General features: G+C 44.3%; 1 protein-coding gene across 11 annotated transcripts in view; it reads right to left on the bottom strand.

The window, feature by feature from the left end:
• Positions 1-21224, bottom strand: part of DCLK2 (doublecortin like kinase 2) — a 178994-nt gene that overhangs the window by 3181 nt on the left and 154589 nt on the right. For 7 of the 11 annotated variants that reach the window (XM_017007832.3, NM_001040261.5, XM_017007833.3 and 4 more), the window contains 5 exons: positions 14383-14516; positions 13782-13859; positions 6559-6655; positions 5873-5953; positions 4574-4690 (listed from right to left, as the gene is read on the bottom strand). In XM_017007832.3, the coding sequence (XP_016863321.1) occupies positions 4574-4690; positions 5873-5953; positions 6559-6655; positions 13782-13859; positions 14383-14516 (507 nt within the window). The other 4 variants (XR_007096380.1, NR_036614.2, XM_024453914.2 and 1 more) reach the window with 3 other exon arrangements.

Here is a 21224-nt window from a genome sequence, read left to right as displayed (position 1 = left end):
GCATAATCCCCCAGCGAAGAAGGCAATGCCCTTGAATCCGTCCCTTCTCAAGTCTGCACCGCAGGCGCCGAGTGACGGCGGCTTCTCGGCATTCCCTTCCCACCACAAGATGGTCTCTCCTGGTCTCTGCAACTGGGGCGAGCCCCCCGGGGTACATGGGAGGCCGTCCTGCATGCACCCTGCTCTGTCCTTTCTTACGCATGCTAAGGACAAGTCCAAGAAAATGGGAACTGTAATCCCACACCTCAGCCCTGCCTGAAACCAAGGCCTCACCCATTAAATTATCTTCTCTTATCCCAAAGGCTGGCTGAGATTACACTTACTGATACAAACTCATCTTTGGAAATGCAGCTGGAGAAAGAACAAAAGCCTTCACGAAGGCACCATCTTAAGCTGCTCTTTCCGAAAAGCCACTTTTCACCTAAGTGGGAAACAGCATCGGTAGGAGAACTATGGGACTCCTCCCGTGCTCTCACCAGCTGTTGGTCTGGAAAGGCAGGCAGTGTGGTAAGCTGAGAAGTTTGAAAATAAAGTTTTCCAGGGGCCTGCTTGGCTGGCTGGAAAGGATGTGAGTAGGTACAAAAGACCCACACCAGTAAGCAGCTGAGAGCCGGACGGCGGCATCAGAAACTGAGACAAGCATGCAGGCGTGAGAGGGGCTGAGGATGGGGCGCGCTGGTCGGACGCAGCGTGGTGAATACCAGGATTCTGCTTCAGGCTCTCCCACTGTCTCAGCGGGGTAAAGAAGGAAACTCTGAGGTGCCTCTCAAACTGTCAAATCAAACTGTCAAACAAAATGCAGATAACACCATCAACTTTACTTTTTTTTCACCTTTATGGACCAATTTCTAGCCCATCATTTTCTCACTGAAGTCTCAGGCCCCAGCTCTGGGGATGAGAACACTAGGGTGACAGCAGATGGGAAGGTCCTGTCTGTAAGTTATCTGATGATTCAACCTCCAGACGGTTGACACTATTTCCACTATCATTTGTATCTGCAGAAAACCAGGTTGGCCCCACAGTCTCAGTTATGAGGACCTATGAGTACCAGGGAGAGTCATTTTGAGGTTATTTTTAATGTAAAAACACTTAAAACTGTTCCGAAGACAGGACACACAGTGACGTGAGGAGGATGAGGAGGATGAGGAGGATGAGGAGGACGAGGAGGATGAGGAGGACGAGGAGGACAATACAGCAGCATCGCAAGTTCCCCCACACAACCATGCCCCAGACCAGGTCCTGCGCCAGGGGAGGATCAGCAGCAGGCCTTCCCCTCCCACTTTTTGGGACAGCCCAAAAGTCACAGGCTGGTGTTTTGGCCATCGAGAATGGGTGCCACCAGAGGCAAGACTGATTGAATTTCCCTGTAGGTACTGAATGGGATCATGACATCAGCAGTTCCTCTGAGCTAACAGCCTGCAGAGTTGTGTAGGTAACATGGGGTTAGAGGGGACACCCTGCCAACATGCGCAAAATGACAACTGAACACACATAAACATACAACATTTACAATCACCATCAGAGCTGCAAACAATAACGGGTTGTTTGTTCACACAAACACCCTGTCAGAGCCCAGGGGTTTGTCTTTTGAGTCCTGAACTCCTCATCAGCAAATGGAAAATGGTATTTGTAAACCACACGACATAGGTTCTGTCTGAGGGGGTCTAAGCGTCATTATCTAGGACAGAGCCTGTAGAACAGCTAATCATTCCAGAATGTCAGCTGAGAGCCAGCCATAAAGAGGCCGGGCACAGGCCTATGGCCACTGATTCCTATCTGGGCCCCTGAGTCAAAAAGTGACCCCAGCAATGACTCCCTTCACAGTCTCCGAGCAAACTCTCCTAAGCCCTGGGCACAGGGCGGTTAAAGGTTCTTCCTCTCAGAAGACTTAACATGGTTATTAAATTTTGATCCTAACCAATCTCTCTTCTTAAGGTTTTTTCATGACACGTTGAGTATGCCAATTTTTAATGTTTTATTTTTCTAAATTTTCCAAGAAGCTGCCTTACAACGCAGTGCACAGCAAGACTGTGTACCACTGAGCCCATCCATCAATGCTAGCTCTCGCAAGGGAATCGCTGGAAACATTCTCATGCTGTTGGCTCAATCAAGATGGTTCTTTTCAAAGTGTCTAAGCTGTAATTCTTTGACAACTCTGACTTTCTCAGGCTTTCAGCAAAACACTGCTAAAATTCAAGGGAAACCACAACTCAAAAGGCCTTCTCACTGCTTTGGCACAGAGCGCCCCCAAAGTCCTGCAAGCCATCAAAAGACTCAGCTTGCAAACCCAGGCTCTGTCTGGAGAGGGAGAGAGGGAGAGAGGGAGAGCACACTTTCTGGCAGGGGAGCAGCTGGGGAGTTGCAAGGACACACAGAGGGTGGCCACATAAACGCAGCCGGGGGACAGAAGAGAATGACGGCCCAGTGGGTGCTGAGAACCTGGTGGACGCTCAATCCATATAACAGAGTGCTGCATGCTCGTGGGGTGTGTGGGGTGTGTGGGGAATGTGGGGTGTGTTCGGGTGTGGGGTGTGTGGGGGTGTTGGGGGTGTGTGGGGGTACCTGGTGTATGCTCAATGCATATAACAGAGTGCTGCACGCTCGTGGGGGCGGGGGGTGTGGGGTGTGTGGAGGTATGTGGGGTGTGTTCGGGTGTGGGGTGTGTAGGCTGTGTGGGCTATGTGGGGGTGTGGGGTGTGTGGGTGTGTATGTGGGGGGTGGGGGTGTGGGGGGTGTGGGGGGTGTGGGTGTGGGGTATGTGGGGGTTATGTGGGGTGTGTTGGGGTGTGGGGTGTGTAGAGTGGGGGGTGTAGGGGATGTGTGGTGCGGGGGATGTGGGTTGTGTGGGGGTGTGGGGGGTGTGAGGTGTGTGGGGATGTGTGGTGTGGAGGGTGTGCGGGATGTGTGGTGTGGGGGATGGGAGTGTGTGGGGGTATGTGGGGGTGTGTGGTGTGGGGGGTGTGAGGGAATGTGTGGTGTGGGGGGTGTGGGGGATGTGTGGGGTGTGGGGGATGTGTGGGGGTGTGGGGGATGTGTGGGGTGTGGGGGATGTGGGTGGTGTGGGGGATTTGGGGGGTGTGGGGGATGTGGGGGGTGTGGGGGATGTGTGGGGGGTGTGGGGGATATGTGTGGTGTGGGGGATGTGTGGTGTGGGGGGTGTGTGGGGGTGTTGGGGGGTGTGAGGGATGTGTGGTGTGGGGGATGTGTGGTGTGGGGGGTGTGAGGGATGTGTGGTGTGGGGGATGTGTGGTGTGGGGGGTGTGAGGGATGTGTGGTGTGGGGGATGTGTGGTGTGGGGGGTGTGAGGGATGTGTGGTGTGGGGGTGTGGAGGATTTGTGGTGTGTGGGGATGTGGGGGGTGTGGGGGGTGTGGGGAGTGTGGGGGATGTTGGGGGTGTGGGGATGTGGGTTATGTGTGTGGCTTCCTTATAGCTTCTATCTAGACCCTGCGTCTTCCTAGGTAAGGCTCTCAGACAACCATGTACCATGAGAATATGCCACTGTTTCCCTTCTAGTTGGGTAGGAAACAAGGAGGACCTTCCCAGAGGATGAGAGGCCTGTCCCAAGTACGAGTGACGGAGCTGTGGAGGTGGCCCATCCTTAGCTGTCAGGACTCAGTGGGGTCACGGGGGGCCCAGATGTGAAACTCAGACGCCCATCACCTTGGCAGGTCTGATTCGAAAGCTGCTGCAGCCAACTCCAGCTCTGGGAAAGGCCACTCCACCCCTGTTCCCTGCTCCTGGGAGTGTGTGGGGAGAACCAAGGTCCCTGCCTGGGTGGCTGGCTGGCTTCTACCTGCTCACGGTGAGCTGGCCTTCCCGCCCAGGGTTGCATTGGCTCAGGCCTGGACAGCTGCTGCGGGTGTGCTGCCCTCACCTCTGGTTCAATGTTTTTTCCTTTTGATTCATTTACTCTCATGTCACTTTTCATTTTAATTTGTTGTGTTTATGTATTTAGGAGAGTTGCCTTAAGAAACATTTTGGAAGAAGAAAAGGCTGAAAAAAATAAGGCCATCGTTGTCACTGACATCTCATAAAATGTTACCAACCCTGAAAAATGAATATATATTTTTTTCCTTGATTATGTACCTTTAAAAGCCCCAAACTGTGTTTTATAAAACACTGATTTTTTAAAACTGAAATATGTTTAGCTTTGGCTGTTTCTTATCCCAAGTCTCAAAGAATAATTCACATCTCTAATAATCTATTTCTGAGGCCTTGGGGTAGGCAGGGAGTTAATTCCTAACACAACACACCCCTCCAGGGCTTGGGAGTCTCTCTAGATGAGAAGGCAGAGACAAGAGTGGAAGCAGCTGCCCAGAGGGCCCAGCCAGGAGCTCCTTGACGCCTGGACCCCTCACACCAGGCCTGCTGGTCCCTACACAAGCCCCTCCACACAGTGCCCAAAGCCTGGGAGTTGCCGAATGAGTGCCCTCCACATGCCAAGCCAATCTTCATATGAAATAGGACTACGGAAGGCACCAACTTCCATGTGAGGGCAGCTCCCGGCTACCTAATTCAAAAACTTCAAGGCCGGCTCCGCAGTCAGGCCAGACCTGCCGCCTTCCACTCACCATGATGACGGAGACCCCGGTGGTAGTGCTGTTCTGTTTGGGGAGCGCATTATTAAAGTGCTGTTTTAGTTTACCTGTCACCTCAGCTTGCATGTTATTCTCCTGGGAGGCATCATCCTACAGGAAAGAAAACAATCAAATACAATGCTTTTTCCATCCTCCCGTTTGAGTTGTCTTTTCCTTAAGAGTCCCCCTCCCCGCCTCAACCACCCTCCTGACCTCTTCCTAAATGGGCCCCTCTTAGCCACAGAATTAGGGAAACAATGATCTTTCAAAAATAACTATTGTTATTCAGTAGGCCCATGCCCTCAGAAAGACCCCACACCATTCCCTCTGCCCCTCAGGACTAGAGTAGGCCCAGGAGAGGGCACAGGTCTCCCGGGACACAAAGCAGGACACACTTTAGGCTACTGAGACCCTCACCCAAGGCACACGATTTAGTATGATCCCTCCCATGGAAGCATCAAAGATCATTGTTTTTCACTTTAATCAAGAATTCATTTAGTTGTTAGTCTTTATTGCTTATAATAAAAAAAAATGTGGTATCTTAGCTACTTGGTCCAAGAACCACGTCATTTAGCCCAAGAGAGCAGCAAGCAGGGTCCAGAGAAACTGCACCTGGATGGTGGGTGGGTGGGGCATTGGAGGTACACAGGGAGCTTCCCAACCGGAGTCAACAAAGCCCTGGGCTAATTAAACTAACTTCACTCTCCTGGAGCCTCCCAGAAATGACGGAAATGGGAGAAATGTAATTCCCACAGTCCCCATTTATTGGATCATGTTTCCCTCCCAGAGACCACCTGAGCCTCTGGGAGGGAACTCTAGTCAATATCATGTGTCTCCACTCAGCTCTGAAGCGATCCTGTCTCAGCCTCCCCATCAACAGCAAGAGGTCTCCTGAGAGCACGTTCCCTGAAGGCACAAAGGTCAGGGTCTGAAACAGGCTCATCTCCAGGGCAAACCCTGGAAACTCTCAAACCCCAAACCGCAGAAGACGAGAGCTAAAAGCCTCCTGAAGGAGCACTGTGGCCAATTCCATTTTGCAGATAAGGAAACTGGGGCCAAGAAAGGGACAGTGACTTGCCCAGGTGACTCGCGGGGCAGGGTCTAAGACTGGGACCCTAGTGCCAACTGCTTTCTTGGGGAGCCATCTTTATGCTACTTGCTCAATGGGACAGACAGACATCTACCATGGAGCTTGGATGCATAACTTTTGCATGTGCAAACATCACAGTGAGGAACCGTGCTGTTGGCCACAGAGCACAGTGAGGCCCATTCCCTGGGAATGTGGGTACTTACTGACACCCAGGGGTGACTCAGGATTTGTCCCGCGGTACACCGAGCTTCAACATTTACCTGAAGCATTTGACTGATTAATTCCTACAAATAAACAAACAAGTCAGACCACAGAGGAGGAGAAAGGAGGTAATTCCAGCATAAATACAGAAATCTGAGTTTGTGGCAAGCACTTCAGAGAAGAGCCAGCACAGCTGCTAACTGATTCAAACCTAAACGTGATTATACCTACTCTCCTAATGCCTTATAAGCAGTGCAAAAGAAAAGACAGTCTCTCCTGAGTCCATGTGAAACTAAGATGTTTTCACCTAAGAGTTCTGGTCATTGTTATTATTCCACAGTCTAAAACTGCAGTATTTTTCCTTTTGGCAATTCAGTGTGTTTCACAAGTTCATCCCTGTATCCTGATGGGTGCCCAATACATATTTCTTGAGTAAATGAAATAATGGATGTTGAGAACTTAGAGGAGCACAAGAGGATGGAGGGAAACTGGAAAGATGGCCAGTCCAGCTTTAAGAATTTGGCCAAGAACTTCAGAGACCATACCATGGGATAAACTTAAAAGAAGAACCACACATTAAAAGCCAAGGAGCTTTCTGGAATGCAATACCTAGCGCAGCTACAGCCCTGTGCAATGGGTGAGGACCCCACAACGTAATACAACCCACAGAAACAGGCCTGGAGGGTACCTTGGCAGAGTCCGTGATGTTATCCCAGTAGGGGGCCGGAAACTCCAGCTTCCCAGCCAAGATCTGGTCGAAGAGATCTTCCTGGAGATTGTTCTCACTAAGCCAGTGACAAAGAAATGGAAGAAAAGTCAAAGTCACCGTAGAATTTTTCAACAAAATGTCCACAGGAAGAGCGGGGAAAGGAGTCCAGTCTCTGGCTTTGACTTGGGCATTCCGTATCTCAATTATGTATCTCAATTCCATTTGTAATGACAGAACTTCTCCTTTTAGATAATGAGCCAAAGAACATTTCCATAGGCCGAGGAATTAAAGAGACAGAGACAATGACTCAAACATTTGCTTAATGAATGCAGAGTTTCGGTTTGGGAAGATGGAAAAGTTCTGGAAAGGGACGGTGGTGATTCTTGCACACAATGTGAATGCATTTAGTGGTACTGAACTGTACGCTTAAAAATGGTGAGAATGATCAATTTTCTTATGTATATTTACCACACACACACACTCAAGAAAATATTTGAATCCACAAATAATGGAAATCCTCATTTTGGGGGGAAAAAAATCAGTATCTGCCCTCAAGCTGTCATGGCAACAAGAAAGGAAAGGCAGAAAATCTAAGTCCGATCTCCTTTCCCTTCTTCTTTGCACTTTAACAGCCAAAGATCAGTGGAACAGCCAACATATGAAAAAGTCATAAGGAGTTCAGGATCTGGATAAACATTCATGAAATAATTAGTTCACTCTTGGAAACTGACTTTCATTTAAGCTCAGTCTGAGAGGAAGGGCCAACCCAAGATGCCAAGCAGAATGGCACAGGCTGAGGCAAACCCATGTCAGCAGCTCACAGGGGCATCCCTCCAACCTGCGCCTGACTGACCCACCCTCGGAGGTGCACTTACACAGTTAGTGCCTGATGAATACAGGCTGACCTGACTTCTCATGAATGATGTCATGGAAATGTGGAAACACCACTGGGGAAGACGTCCCCAACCTCCCATATAACCTCACCTCCACAGCCCCCTCACTTGGTGGGTGCATCGATGGCTAGAGTGAGGAACAGCATCACTAGTTTTCCAGGCCATTACAAGGCCCCATGAGAAAGCTCAGAATGGGCTGTTGGAGTCAACTTCAAAATCCAGGAGTGCAAGTTAAGTATTACCCGGCGAGTGTGCAAACTTTTCTTGGAATTTCTTCACCCAGCCTTCAGGGTTTTGCTACCAACCCTCTCAAAGGGGAACAAGGGCAAGCGTGGTGTCCTGAGAAACAGATCATTCAGGACAGTGTCTAGCAATAAATTCTAGGGCTGTTGTGATGACATGGCTCCCTCATTCCTCTCCTATTAAAAAGAGCAGAGTTGGCTGGGTGTGATGGCTCATGCCTGTAATCCCAACACTCTGGGAGGCCAAGGTGGGTGGATTACCTGAGGTCAGGAGTTCAAGACCAGCCTGACCAACTTGGTGAAACCCTGTCTCTACTGAAAATACAAAAAAATCAGCCAGGCATGGTGGTGCGCACCTGTAATCCCAGCTACTCAGGAGGCTGGGGCAGGAGAATCCCTTGAACCTGGGAGGCGGAGGTTGCAGTGAGCTGAGATCGCACCACTGCATTCCAGCCTGGGCAACAGAGCAAGACTCTGTCTCAAAAAAAAAAAAAAAGAGTAGAGTTTGTGAGCTTTGTAAATATTCATGACATTTAAGAGCAAGCCCAGGTCTTTGCTATTGTGAATAGTGCCGCAATAAACATACGTGTGCATGTGTCTTTATAGAAGCATGATTTATAATCCTTTGGGTATATACCCAGTAATGGGATGGCTGGGTCAAATGGTATTTCTAGTTCTGGATCCTTGAGGAATTGCCACCCTGTCTTCCACAATGGTTGAACTAGTTTACAGTCCCACCAACAGTGTAAAAGTGTTCCTATTTCAAATGTCCATCAATGATAGACTGGATTAAGAAAATGTGGCACATATACACCATGGAATACTATGCAGTCATAAAAAAGGATGAGTTCATGTCCTTTGTAGGGACATGGATGAAGCTGGAAACCATCATTCTCAGCAAACTATCGCAAGGACAAAAAACCAAACACCACATGTTCTCACTCATAGGTGGGAATTGAACAATGAGAACACTTGGACACAGGAAGGGGAACATCACACACCGGGGCCTGTCATGGGGTAGGGGAAGGGGGAGGGATAGCATTAGGAGATATACCTAATGTAAATGATGAGTTAATGAGTGCAGCACACCAGCATGACGCATGTATACATATGTAACAAACCTGCACGTTGGGCACATGTACCCTAGAACTTAAATAAAATAAAAACAACAAAAAAAAGCAAGCCCAGCTGAATGGACACCCACTGGTCCACAGAGTTTGGTGAAGAGGCACACTGAGGAGTGAAAGTCAGGACAGATAACTGGGCCAGGCAAGAGAAAGAGATTACCACTACTGTCCCAAAGAGTGATTTCCTGTGAATGCACACGCGTTTCTTAGTGTCAAAATGTTTTCTTTCCTTTTCACTGTTATTTCCCTGCTGAGTGAACTCAGCTTACTGCTCCTTCAAAGTGAGTACAGAATACATCTAAGATTATTAGATTTAGTGGAAAACTTCAGAGAACCAGAGGGCTCCAACATATGATGTTAGAAAAAGATATTTAAAATGAGCTATTTCCACAATCATTCTTTTTAGTCATCCTTACCTATTATTCCACTCAACTCCCCCTTATTTTTTCTGGAATCTCAAATATCTTATATTTTGTTAATGTATACAGCTTTTATTTTGTTAATAAATAGCTAAAAAGCTGGAAGTGTGTGCACAGCAGTCATTTATAGCAGCTGGTTCTTGGCAAAATACCCTGAGTCAACAAACAAAACCACAGGGTGTCTCAGCAATGAGAATGGGACCCTGAAGTATCCACTGTAAGTTGCAAGAGCTTTGACAGTTGGGGCCTGCCCCGCACTAGAAAAATAGAAAGCTAATTTATCTTTCTTAGCAGTCATGTAAGAAAAGCTGTTCTGATTAAATCCACACTGGATCCGGTATCGCATTGATACTCCACAATCTGGCTGAGATCCTTCATGGCATTTTTAAATTCTAAAACAATATAGCCTTTGGACCAAGGTGCCGTAAGTCTAAAAATGTCCATTAAGAAAAACTTGAAAAACAACAAAAGAGTTTGTGCACACGCTCTCTTTTCAATGACAAAGCATTATAATTCAGAAAAGGTAAACCTGAAAATGTTGTAAGCTATTTCCCAAATGATGTTCAAACATTCCACTTGGAGCATTTTGTGTGTGTTTTAAGAGAAACAAAAATTTCAGTATAGTCACACAAATAATACTTTTTGTCAGTGACCCTAAGAGCAGACTTGCTTAGACAACAACTAAAATTTTGGGTGCCTCTGAAAAACCAATCTACTTCTCGGTAATGATGAATCTGATGTTGAAAAAGACTAGAGGGAAATGGCTCAGGCACAGTGGCTCACACCTATAATCTCAACACTTTGAGAGGCTGGAGTGGGAGGACTGCCTGAGGCTAGGAGTTCAAGACCAGCCTGGGCAACACTGCAAGACCCCATCTCAACGAAAAACTTCAACAACTAGTGCAATATAGTGGTGCACACATGTGGTCTCAGCTACTCAGGAGGCTGAGGGAGGAGGATTGCTTGAGCCAGGAGTTGGAGACTGCAGTGAGCTATGATTGCACCACTACACTCCAGCCTGGTCAACAGAGACCCTGTCTCTTAAAAAATAAATTAAAAAAATTAAAAAATAAAATTTACAGACTGGGCAACAAAGTGAGACCCTATCTCTACCAAAAAAAAAAAAAAAAAAGCTGGGCATGGTGGTGTGTGCTTGTAGTCCCAGCTACTTGGGAGGCTGAGGTGGGAGGATTCCTTGAGCCTGGAGTGGGCTGTGATCACACCAGCCTGGGTGACAGAGCAAGATCCTGCCTATAAAAAAGAAAAAAAAAAGACTAGAAAGAGAACACATGTCAAACTACAACTAAAACCTGAAAAGCCTGAAGGAAGAAAGAATGAAAGATGCTATCGTCAGAGAAGCTAAAACTGTAAATTCCAAGTAACGATTGTAGTTTAAATGCTTTGGGTTAAAGTTGTCTTTTGTATAAAACAAAGAGACTATTTGAAATATGTGAAGGACTTTTAAGTACAAATGTAGACAATCTACTTTATACCAAACTTATTTACCGTAATTTAAAGTACCATGTCCGTAATTAATGACATGCATTTCTGTATTATAGTAGGTTATAAAATCTACCCAGAATGTCGCTGTATGCCATGAAGACACTTTGGTAACACACGTTTAACATTACAGATTCTCTTTCATCACAATATGATATAAAAGAGGGAAAGCGCTGTCTTAATTTTTAAAAGCTACCTGGAGGTCTATGACCTGCTTCTGAAGGCAGCATATAAGGGCAGCAGCTTTCAGAATGTAGCTTTATTGCTTTTGATTAGCTAAACTTATCTCTAGACCCCACAAAAAAGCTGCTCCCCGTTCAGTATCAATCCATGATAAATGCATCCTCTTCAATTTGAGTCTCACTTTTTTTAAAAAGTAAAAAGCAGTGAAAGAAAAAACTCTCAGGCTGCACCAGCAACTGCAAACACTAGAGGGAGTTGTGAGCACACAGTCCGCTCAAACTCATCACCCAAGACCCTTTCCCAGCTGATCCCAGCTTGGGTTAGCCAGGGAAGGGAACTCCACTGTAACTGGCCCAGGATCACCTGTCATCAAGATGCATTCCCCTTCTCCACTTGACCCCTTCTCCCAAAACATGACATCACTGAGACCAGCCAAGGCCCGGTGTGACTTTAAAAATGGCCACAAATTATTCCCTTCCCACTATATACTTAGCTCATTTTCTCCCACATTTACTCTTGGGTTAGCTGTTTGACTTGATTTGCTTAACGGCACATCAAGTGTGAGGTGAGCAGAGGCTGAGGAAGTGCTCGGGGAGCAGAACTTGCCCTGTCTCTGGCTGCTTTGGGGAATCTTGCATCCACTCTCATGGAAGCCCAGGACAGCCCCTGCATGATGAAAGCACAGGGCCAAGTCATCTCTCTTGTCCCAGTGGACACTGAGCCACCTACCAGGTGTGCAAGTGGGGTCATCCTAGACCATCAAGCCCCTGCTGAGCCAGCCAGCTCAGAAGATTCACTCAACTGATCCATGCAATTGTTTCACACTCCTAACTTCAGGGGTAGTGTGTTACTCAGCAAAAGCTAACTGAAATGTACAGTAATTCTACAGTCTGTGTAACCCACCTAGTTAATGACTTTGGTGGAAGACCACGATGTTGACGGCCAGATGGAAATATCTTTCCACCTACAAAAACTCCACTAATACCACAAAGGTCTCACTCAAATGCTACATCTTTCATGAATGCTACATCCTTGTGATTTCCAGCCCTGAACTAAGCACTCCCTCATGCTCTGCTTATTCTCTTTGATCAATAGTCTTGTGAGGTGTGTCTTTATCTATAGCATAAGGCTTTCAAAAGTAGAGACTAACATCTGTCAGTCTTATGTTTACTGCAATGCCAATTAGAAAATTGTTCAACGCAATGGGAAAACCGAGAATTTTAAAAAGATAATCCTTTCAACTTTTCTGTATGTTTGAAAGTTTTCACAATAAAATGTTGGATGGAAAAGAAGATAAAACCATTTTTCACATAGTGACCCAGTACAACACTATAAACACCATGCCATAGGCTAAATGTTCATGTCTCCCCAAAATTCACATGCTGCAACCTAATGCCCAATGTGATGGTAGTAGGAGATGGGACCTTTGGGCAGCCATGCTATTGTTAAGGGTGGAGCTCTCATGAATAAGATTAGGGCCCTTACAAAAGACCCCAGAGATTCCCTTGCCCTTTCCACTGTATGTGGTTAGAGTGAGGAGATGGCTGTCTATGAACCAAGAAGTGAGCCCTCAACAGTCACCAAATCTGCAGTACCTTGATCTTGGAATTCTCAACCTCCAGAACTGGAAGGATGAATTTTCTGGTGTTTATAAGCCACACTGTATATGATATTTTGTTATGGCTAGTCAAATAAACTAAGGGAAACCACAACCTCAGGTTTTGTTCACCACTTTATTCCTAGCACTTAAAATCATGCCTGGCACACAGTAGCTACTCATTAGACAGTTACAAAATGAACAAAGGGAAGAGATTAAAGTGAAAAGAGGTCAAGAAAACTCAGAAGAAAACAGAACATGCATGGTTAGATGAACTTCTGCTTCAGAGTAATTCATTTGCTCCAGAGGGGGAGATGAAACTCATCAAAAGAGCTGTGGCTGAAGCCCCTCACTCATTCCCTGCACAAAGATTGCCAGGCCAATGAGTGTGCTCCCGTGCCCTGCTCAAATACTCTGACCATTGTCAGTGGCCATCTCTGCTCCCACCATGTGAAGCAAATGGTTACCAAGACTCACTCAGTCTGTGTATTCCCAGGCCTATTTATACCACAAGTGTTTGTAATTCTATTCTTAATTAAATGTCACATGAACCAATAAAATGAATTTTAAGAAGAAAGAGATCCTGTTTCTATGAGAACAAACTTGAATGCTTGGAAAGAGGATATAAAAACTGCTGCCTAATTGAGTGAGAGAGACCACTATGAAGAAATGGAAGATGACATACCTGGAAGGATTCGGACTGCTTCACAAGGCTCTTTAAATCTTGCTGTCATTTGAAAAGATGGAGAAATTGGACATGGTAGACACTGTATTATGGGTTTATTTTTATGAAAGAATGAACACTGGAAACTCAGAGGACCAACCAAACACAAAGCAAAGGCCTTCACCTCACACCCAAAGTATGCTAATGAGAATATACATTAATAGGCTGTAAATTAAAAAGCGAAAGGTGTTTTATGTAATTTTTTTTTTCTGATTTTTTTTTTTCTTTTTCTTTTTTTTTTTTTATTATATTTTAAGTTTTAGGGTACATGTGCACATTGTGCAGGTTAGTTACATATGTATACATGTGCCATGCTGGTGCGCTGCACCCACTAACTCGTCATCTAGCATTAGGTATATCTTCCAATGCTATCCCTCCCCCCTCCCCCCGTTTTATGTAATTTTTAACTGGCATTTTTAATGACCAAACAGTCCCGACTTCCAGGAGCAAAGTACCTGCTTCTGGACCCAAGGGAGAACATTTGCAATTCAAATACGTCGCCCAAAAGGCCGCCTACCTTCGGAATGGTGGGAATCCACAGAGAAGTATGTATGTGATCACACCAGCTGCCCAAATGTCCACCTTCAGGCCATAGCTAGGAAAACAAAGTGGGTGAGGGGGAGAGAACTGATGGCTCCCAAGACCCTTCCATGGTACTGGAGTATTGCCTTTATTTGTTAGGAAAAGGATTATTTTAGTGTTAAATTATTCATTTCATTTCACATAGAGATGAATGAATCACACTTTAGAAAAAGGCATCTGTTTCTGCCAACCTAACCACAGTCTTGGTGACTACTGCCATACTCTCAAGAGTGGCCTTAGAACACAAGTCCAGGCCAGGGCTCTGGCCAGGTAAGCATAAAATCTGCTTCCTGAGGTCAAAATCATGGTGCAGGCAACAGACTCTCACTTCTTTCCATTCTCCACCTTCACAGGAGGCACTGTATACACAAGCAGCAATAGCAACAAAACAGACCTTTCTTACCAACTGTATACACAAGCAGCAATAGCAACAAAACAGACCTTTCTTACCAACTGTATACACAAGCAGCAATAGCAACAAAACAGACCTTTCTCATCAAAGTTAAAGTACTAACCAGGGCCACCAGAAGTCTTACCCAGTTTCAGCAATGATTTCTGGAGCCACATAAGTGGGTGTGCCACAGACTGTGTATAAAGGGCCTTCTACCACAGTCGCAAGCCCAAAGTCTCCCAGTTTCAAAGACTTGGTTCCATCAGGATATTCACACACCTGAAACAGAAATCAGCCAACAATCAGAAGATTTTTTTTTCCTCAACAATTGTGAGAGGGCTCTTGGAATTAGGCAGAAAGGACACAAATACATTTACTATTAAACTCGAATGAAATCTCTCCTTGTGATTTTTTTTTTTGAAGACACGGTCTCGCTTTGTTGCCCAGGCTGGAGTGCGGTGGTGTGACCACAGCTCACTGCAGCCTCAACCTCTGGGCTGAAGTAATCCTTCCCCCACGGAACCCCCAACAAGTAGCTGGAACTACAGGTACATGCCACCACACTAGGCTAATTTCTTTATTTTTTGTAGAGACGGGGTCTCCTTATACTGCCCAAGCTGGTCTTGAACTCCTGGGATCGTGAGATCTGCCCACCTCAGCCTCCCAAAGTGCTGGGAATACAGGCATGAGCTACCGTGCCCGACACCTCCTTGTGATTCTAACACCATGATTCATCTTTGTTGCTTTAAAGTGCTAATTTTTTTCTCTTCAGAGATTTTGCACAATTGTGTGAAATTTGGAAAAAATATTTTCCACTTTTGCAGAAAGTTCCTTCCCTAGGAGTACGATGAACACACGTGCTTGCTTACACAGTAGTTAGAGTGTAGGCGGCTGTGTACCTGATAGGCGTGAGAGAGGCCTCTAATCCTGGAGGTAGAAACTGACCTTTATTTAGCATTTACTATGTGTGATGTACTTGAGAGCCCAAGAAATGGTGTATTAAGTGTCCACCAAAGCACTTGGTGATCTCCACGGCACTAGCATGTTTAGTTCAGAAAATAAAATTGGGGGCAGCAATGGGGTCCTTGTTGTCTAGACAGTCAATGATGAAATACAAATATGATATAGGGGAAAACCTTGGAAGTTTAGAAAGAAAATGACCTTTGGGATCAGGCAGCCTGAACTTCCATAACAAGTCCACACATCTGGTTGTGTGACCTCTGAAGTCACATAACCTCTCTGAGCACATTTCTTCATCTATGAAGTGAGATAATGCCAGTACCTCCCTTGTGAAGTTGGTGTGAAGGTGAAATGAGACAAAGCTCAGAACAGGGCTCAATAAATGCTCCTTCCTTGTGGGTAATCAGATGAGAAAAAATAAAAAGTAAAAAAATAAAAAATGTTCCTTCCATTTCCTGGAAGGACTGGCTGATTAGATAATTATCACATTGGAAAAGGTTTAAAAATGCTGGTGGAGACGTGACTATTTATGCTTAAAGAACCTTTCTAGAAAGCATTCAGCAATATATAGCAAATTTCTTTATATCAATTATAACCTTTGACCCAATAAGTCTACTTCTCAAAACCTACTCTAGGGGAATAGAGATGGACCCAAACGTTATATATAAGGACGCTAATCTCAGAATTTATCTATGACTTTTAAAAACTAAGGGCAACATAAATGGGTAATAGGGCAATGACTATGATACATTACCATAATAAAATATTACATACTTTCTAATAAGCATTTTTCAAATATATTAATCATATGGGAAATAGTCACTATTATGCAGAGTTAAAAAATGCAAAATTACATATAAAATACTCAAAAATGTTAACAAGTTTATCTCTAAGTGGTAGCATGAAGGATTAATTTAATTTTCTTTATAGTTCTCAGTGGTTTCTAAAATGTTTACAATGAACATGTGTTGGTTTCATAATAATTTCATATATAAGCAAAACTACGGGATAAATATAACTTTAGAAAGTTAGGTTCTAAGTGAATAGTTTTGGAAGCAAACAAGTGCGTATGACAGCATAATTCAAGTTTCACCATGCAGTCCTGAACCTGAGTGTATAGTCTATTTGTCTCTTGGATGTCCATTTTGAAAACATGGAATTTCAGAGAATAAACTGCTGCAGAGACCTAGTCTATACTCATTGTAATGCCTGTTTCTATTTTTCTATTTTAAGCATAGTTTGCTTTGTCTCATATTTTGCTGAACCAGATATTTATCGCAACCACTATTAACTGTAGAAGGAGAAAAATTTAGAAAATGATGTTTTTTCAAGATAAGCATGTTAGCAACATCATCCATTAGTCTGCTACTTAATGAGGGGGAGTGATTTAAATAGTCATCAGTAAAAAAGAATGGAGAACCGCAGGGCTCTCCCAGGCCAGTAATTCCCCAAGTTTTACAGGCATTTTAAAGAGGACGGCACTGAAATACCTCCCTTACCTGTGATGTCCTTATCCATTTAATAAGAATATGTTTCACCTTTAGTATCTGAATAACGTTTTCCAGTCTTATATACTGAATACACATCTCTAACACATATCTTTATGACTTTAAAGTTCCACAGGAGTAATGATGAGGATTTTGAGTCCCTCATAGATATTTACAACTCTGAGTCAGCCCACAAGTCAGCAGAAACATTTTCAAAGATATGAATGATTCAGCCTAAAGTAACGGATTCCAGATTCTTAGTCACGTCACAGTCTTAGGAAAACTTTCCACCCATTATGTTTAATGTAAACATTAACAAGAACAATCTGATATAATTATAGTTAGAATTTATAATGCTTTTACCAAAACCCAGACTTTGGAAAGAAATTTCCTAAGTAATTACAGTGATAAGAATGTTATAAGCACAAATTCCTAACTGTCTGCATCATGAGAGTTAAAAAAAAAAGTTTTATTAATGTCACTGTTATTTTGTTTTTACAACTTAAAAATATACTCATTAGGTACAATTTTTGAAAAATAGTATTTATTTTAAAGACTCCATTTAGTGATGCCTAGGGGTATTCAGAGGTTGCTGTCAGATACTCAGAAGTCCCTGAAGTCCTGTTTTTCACATCCTCTATAAAGAATTCAGAGTCAGATGCAGGAGCATATATAGAAAGGGACTGAACAGTCTGTAACTGCTGAATTATGTCTGTGCAAGTGATATTCCTTGGCTAAACATCACAAAGGAAGTGTCATTAGGGGTAGACAAGCCTGAAGTCATATTTTATCTGATTCATCTCTCCCCAATGCTGGACACAGAAGCAAACATGTCTAATATGAATACATTTCAAATCTTAGTGAGAGACTGTCTTCAAAGCAGGAAGAAATTATACATATATCTCTCTCTAGATAGATACAGAGACACACACATCATTGCTTTAAAAACAGTTGCCTTTAATAAAGAGGTGACTAGATGAACAGGGACTCCAAAGGCTTTCTGGCAGAGTTCAGGTCTCCCCAGAAACTGACATTCTCAAGGACTTTGGAGATTTCAAAATTCTTTCGAAGATTATCTCACTGGACTTCTAGAGCCACCCCACTGGGCAACTAGGAAGAGAACTGTTACCTCCATTTTACAAACGAGGAGACTGAGGCGCACAGCACTCAGGTTACTAGTCATATGGCCAGGCAGGGGCTCCAGCCAGGATCATTATTCATTCCACAGCACCATTCTGCAAGATTCTGTACCTGAAAAATAACTGGAAAGGCCTGCCAGAACCCTGACTACAGCCTGCACTTACTTACAGATTTTGAGTGAATTTAAACAATCACAACTGTGAGAACTCTAGCCCTGCAGTGTTCAAACGCCCCACCACAAGCTGTGAGATGCTTCTGTCAAAAGTTGCTCTCAGAATGCAAAAATAAAAAATGCGAGGAATGCAGATCCCACATACAAAATGAACACTGTGTGTTCTCTAAATAAAATGTCAACTTAATGATTTAGAAGGACTTCAAATATGAGAAACCAACCCTCTTCTCTTCTCTCTCCTATCCCCAGAACTCCTGGACAACCTGAATTTATCACTGGTCTCTCATACTTAACTCTGACACGGTACCACCAGGCTGTAACTCACAGCATTAACGGCCACCCCTGTGCTCCCTGACACAGCTACCCATACATCTCCACTGGCAGGGTTTTAAATTATGATGCTGCTTACCGGAGAGCGGGATGCAAATCAGATGTCTGAATGCTCTGGTGTTTAAAAACTGAATTAGTTCTCAGAGCAAGAAGAGGCCGACAGTCACTCTGGGTATTTACTTTTAGTATCTCAATGGCACCCTCTCCTCCCAGGCCAATACCAACCTGCTGACTAAATCTAGAAACTGCCAAGTGATCTAGTTAGGTTTTCAATCGCAAACACATTTTACTGAGATATATGAGGCTATGGTTATTTCTGAAGGCTCGGAAGAGCCTTTCTACATCACATATTCGCCTCTTCCAGAGGTCAGTTTTATCCTCTTCTTCCTTCTCCTCCCTTTCTGGGCTAACACAAGGGGGCTCCCGTAGGTTTGGGAAGGGGTGGACGCTCATCTAGGACAGGTGAGACTCAATGAGGAGTGTGACTCTGATTTCCTGATTGCATTCTGAGACTCATGATGTTGGAGACATCAATCCCCATTACATTACTTACTCTTAAATTTTTTAAATTTTAGCCAATTCTCCTGAAGAAGTGAAAAACATTATCCACCCTTGATGTGTGACAAGAAAAAAGGAGGCGGTGTCAGATTCTTTACATACATTAAGAAACTCTGAGTGGAAAAGAGAAGAAACAGGAGGTGAGAGTGAGATCTGTGAGCTGGGAAATGGACTCCCTGGTTTATAGGGAAGCTCACAAGCACCTCAGTCACCTTCTTTGCTGGGCCTTAAATCAGGGCTGTTGGACAGACTGGCTGCAGGGGTTCCTTGGGAACCTGTGGCTCCCATATTTTCAGAGAATGCAGTAACTAGAGCCAGTGGGGCAAGGCAGGTTGTGGAGAGCAGGAAGCAGTCAAGGGGGTATCCTTATGAATGCCCCAGTGTTTGTGTCTGGTCACACCTGGAGAAAGCCCTGTGCCTTTGTTTGCGAAGCCCGGGCCAAACTCAGTTCGACGGTGGAGGAGCCTGGCATGCTGCAAGGTCCCAATGGGCGAGAAGCCTGTTTTGAGGAGAGAACGCCATATCCTAACTTTCCTCCTGAGGCTCGGTTTACAACTCTGTCTCCATTCCTTGTTAGAGTTCATAAAACCACGTCCACAATCCCCCTTTTTTTTTTTTTTTAACACAGAGCAGGGATATTTCTTTTCCTAATAAGAACATATAGAAATGAAATATAATTCCCTCAAGGCAGAAGACAGTGAGATAAAATTTCAAATACTTTTAAATGGATACTCAGAAATCATCAAATGATATTACCAAAAAGAAAAGACGGGTACTCTGGATTAGATTAGCCAAAAAATAAAAAGTCCCCAGGATGGCTTCAGATGCTGTGCATCAATGCATATTCCTTTCAACAGTTATTTGTGTGGTGCTCACAGCAGGCTGTAGAGGCTCATGCTCTAGCACCAGCTGCTAGCTGAGTGAGTGTCAGTGGTCAGTGAGCAATACTCTGCTGTCCGTTATGTGTTTACGTGTCACCATCCAAACCATTGGAGATATAAAGATAATTAGACACAAACCTTGCCTCCATGGTACTTACAATCCCAAAGAGGCAGACAAGTGTATGATAAAGATCACAACACCGTAGCAAGTGCAGCAGAAACCCGAGGTGGCTGTGACTGAACTTTGTCTAGAAAGTCTAGAGTGATGTTAAAGAAGACTTAACTTTTGCTCAATGTATTACAAGATGAATGGTTTACCACAATGCTGGAAGAGAGGACGCTGCAAATGAAGACCAGTATGGACAGAAGCAATGGAGGTGTAAGGCTGCTGGTAAGTCAAGTCTTAACTAAAAACTGAGGATGGAGGAATCTGTGTTTGGATTAACATGATGTAGAAGACTCAGATAAGCTTGCCTCCCAAGCAGGAATGAGGATGAGAGCCCTGAAAGGTGGAAATAAAGAAGCCAACTATGTCATGTGTGTTTGTGGGGGGCTGGGAGGAGTGTAAATGTCAAATCCCCCAACCAGTTTCTCTAAAATTCTTCTATAACGTGGTCACGAGGATTGGTTCCCAATTAGCAAGCTGTGTCTAGTTATCAAGAGTCACCATGAAGGTGAGTTCAATATGGCTTGAAGCTTAGACCATGTTGGGTTGGATGGATAAGAGTTATTAACAGGACAGGAAGCTGAAAAGACAAATTGAGATCAGACTATGAAGAACTCTGGGTACCATAGTGGAATAAGACTTTTTATTCTGTAGAATAATAGGATAAAAGAGACTTCTAAGAAAAAAAAATGGCATCTCTTGGTCTCTGTTTCCATGCCTTTAGTAAAGCTGAGATGAATGGACTAGACTATTTCCAAAATTATTCCCTGCAAATAAATGAACCCCCACATTCTACTCCTGTCTCCTATGAGCCTCTAATTCTGTCTCAAATTTATTCTTCACAATTTTCTGCCCTATAAAATAATTTTCCTGCTCACCTTTAAGTCAGTACCATCAATTAAAATATAAATGAAAATGTATTTTCTTGTATCTGGTGACATGCTTTGGCTCTGTGTCCCCACCCAAATCTCATGTTGAACTGTAATTCCCAATGTTGGGGGAGGCACCTTATGGGAGGTGACTTGATTATGGAAGCAGATTTCCCCCATGCTGTTCCTGTGGTAGTGAGTTCTCATAACATACGATGGTTTAAAAATGTGTGGCACTTCCCTCCTCGCTCTCTTTCTCTCCTGCCACCATGTGAAGAAGGTGCTTGCTTCCCCTTCGCCTTCCGCCATGATTGTAAGTCTCCTGAGGCCTTCCTGTTAAGCCTGTGGAACTGTGAGTCAATCAAACCTCTTTTCTTCATAAATTACCCAGTCTCAGGTAGTTCTTTATAGCAGAGTGAGAAAT

The sequence above is a fragment of the Homo sapiens genome, chromosome 4, assembly GCF_000001405.40.
Source record: "Homo sapiens chromosome 4, GRCh38.p14 Primary Assembly".
Classification (NCBI taxonomy): Eukaryota; Metazoa; Chordata; class Mammalia; order Primates; family Hominidae; genus Homo; species Homo sapiens.
This window is presented reverse-complemented; position numbering and strand designations above follow the sequence as displayed.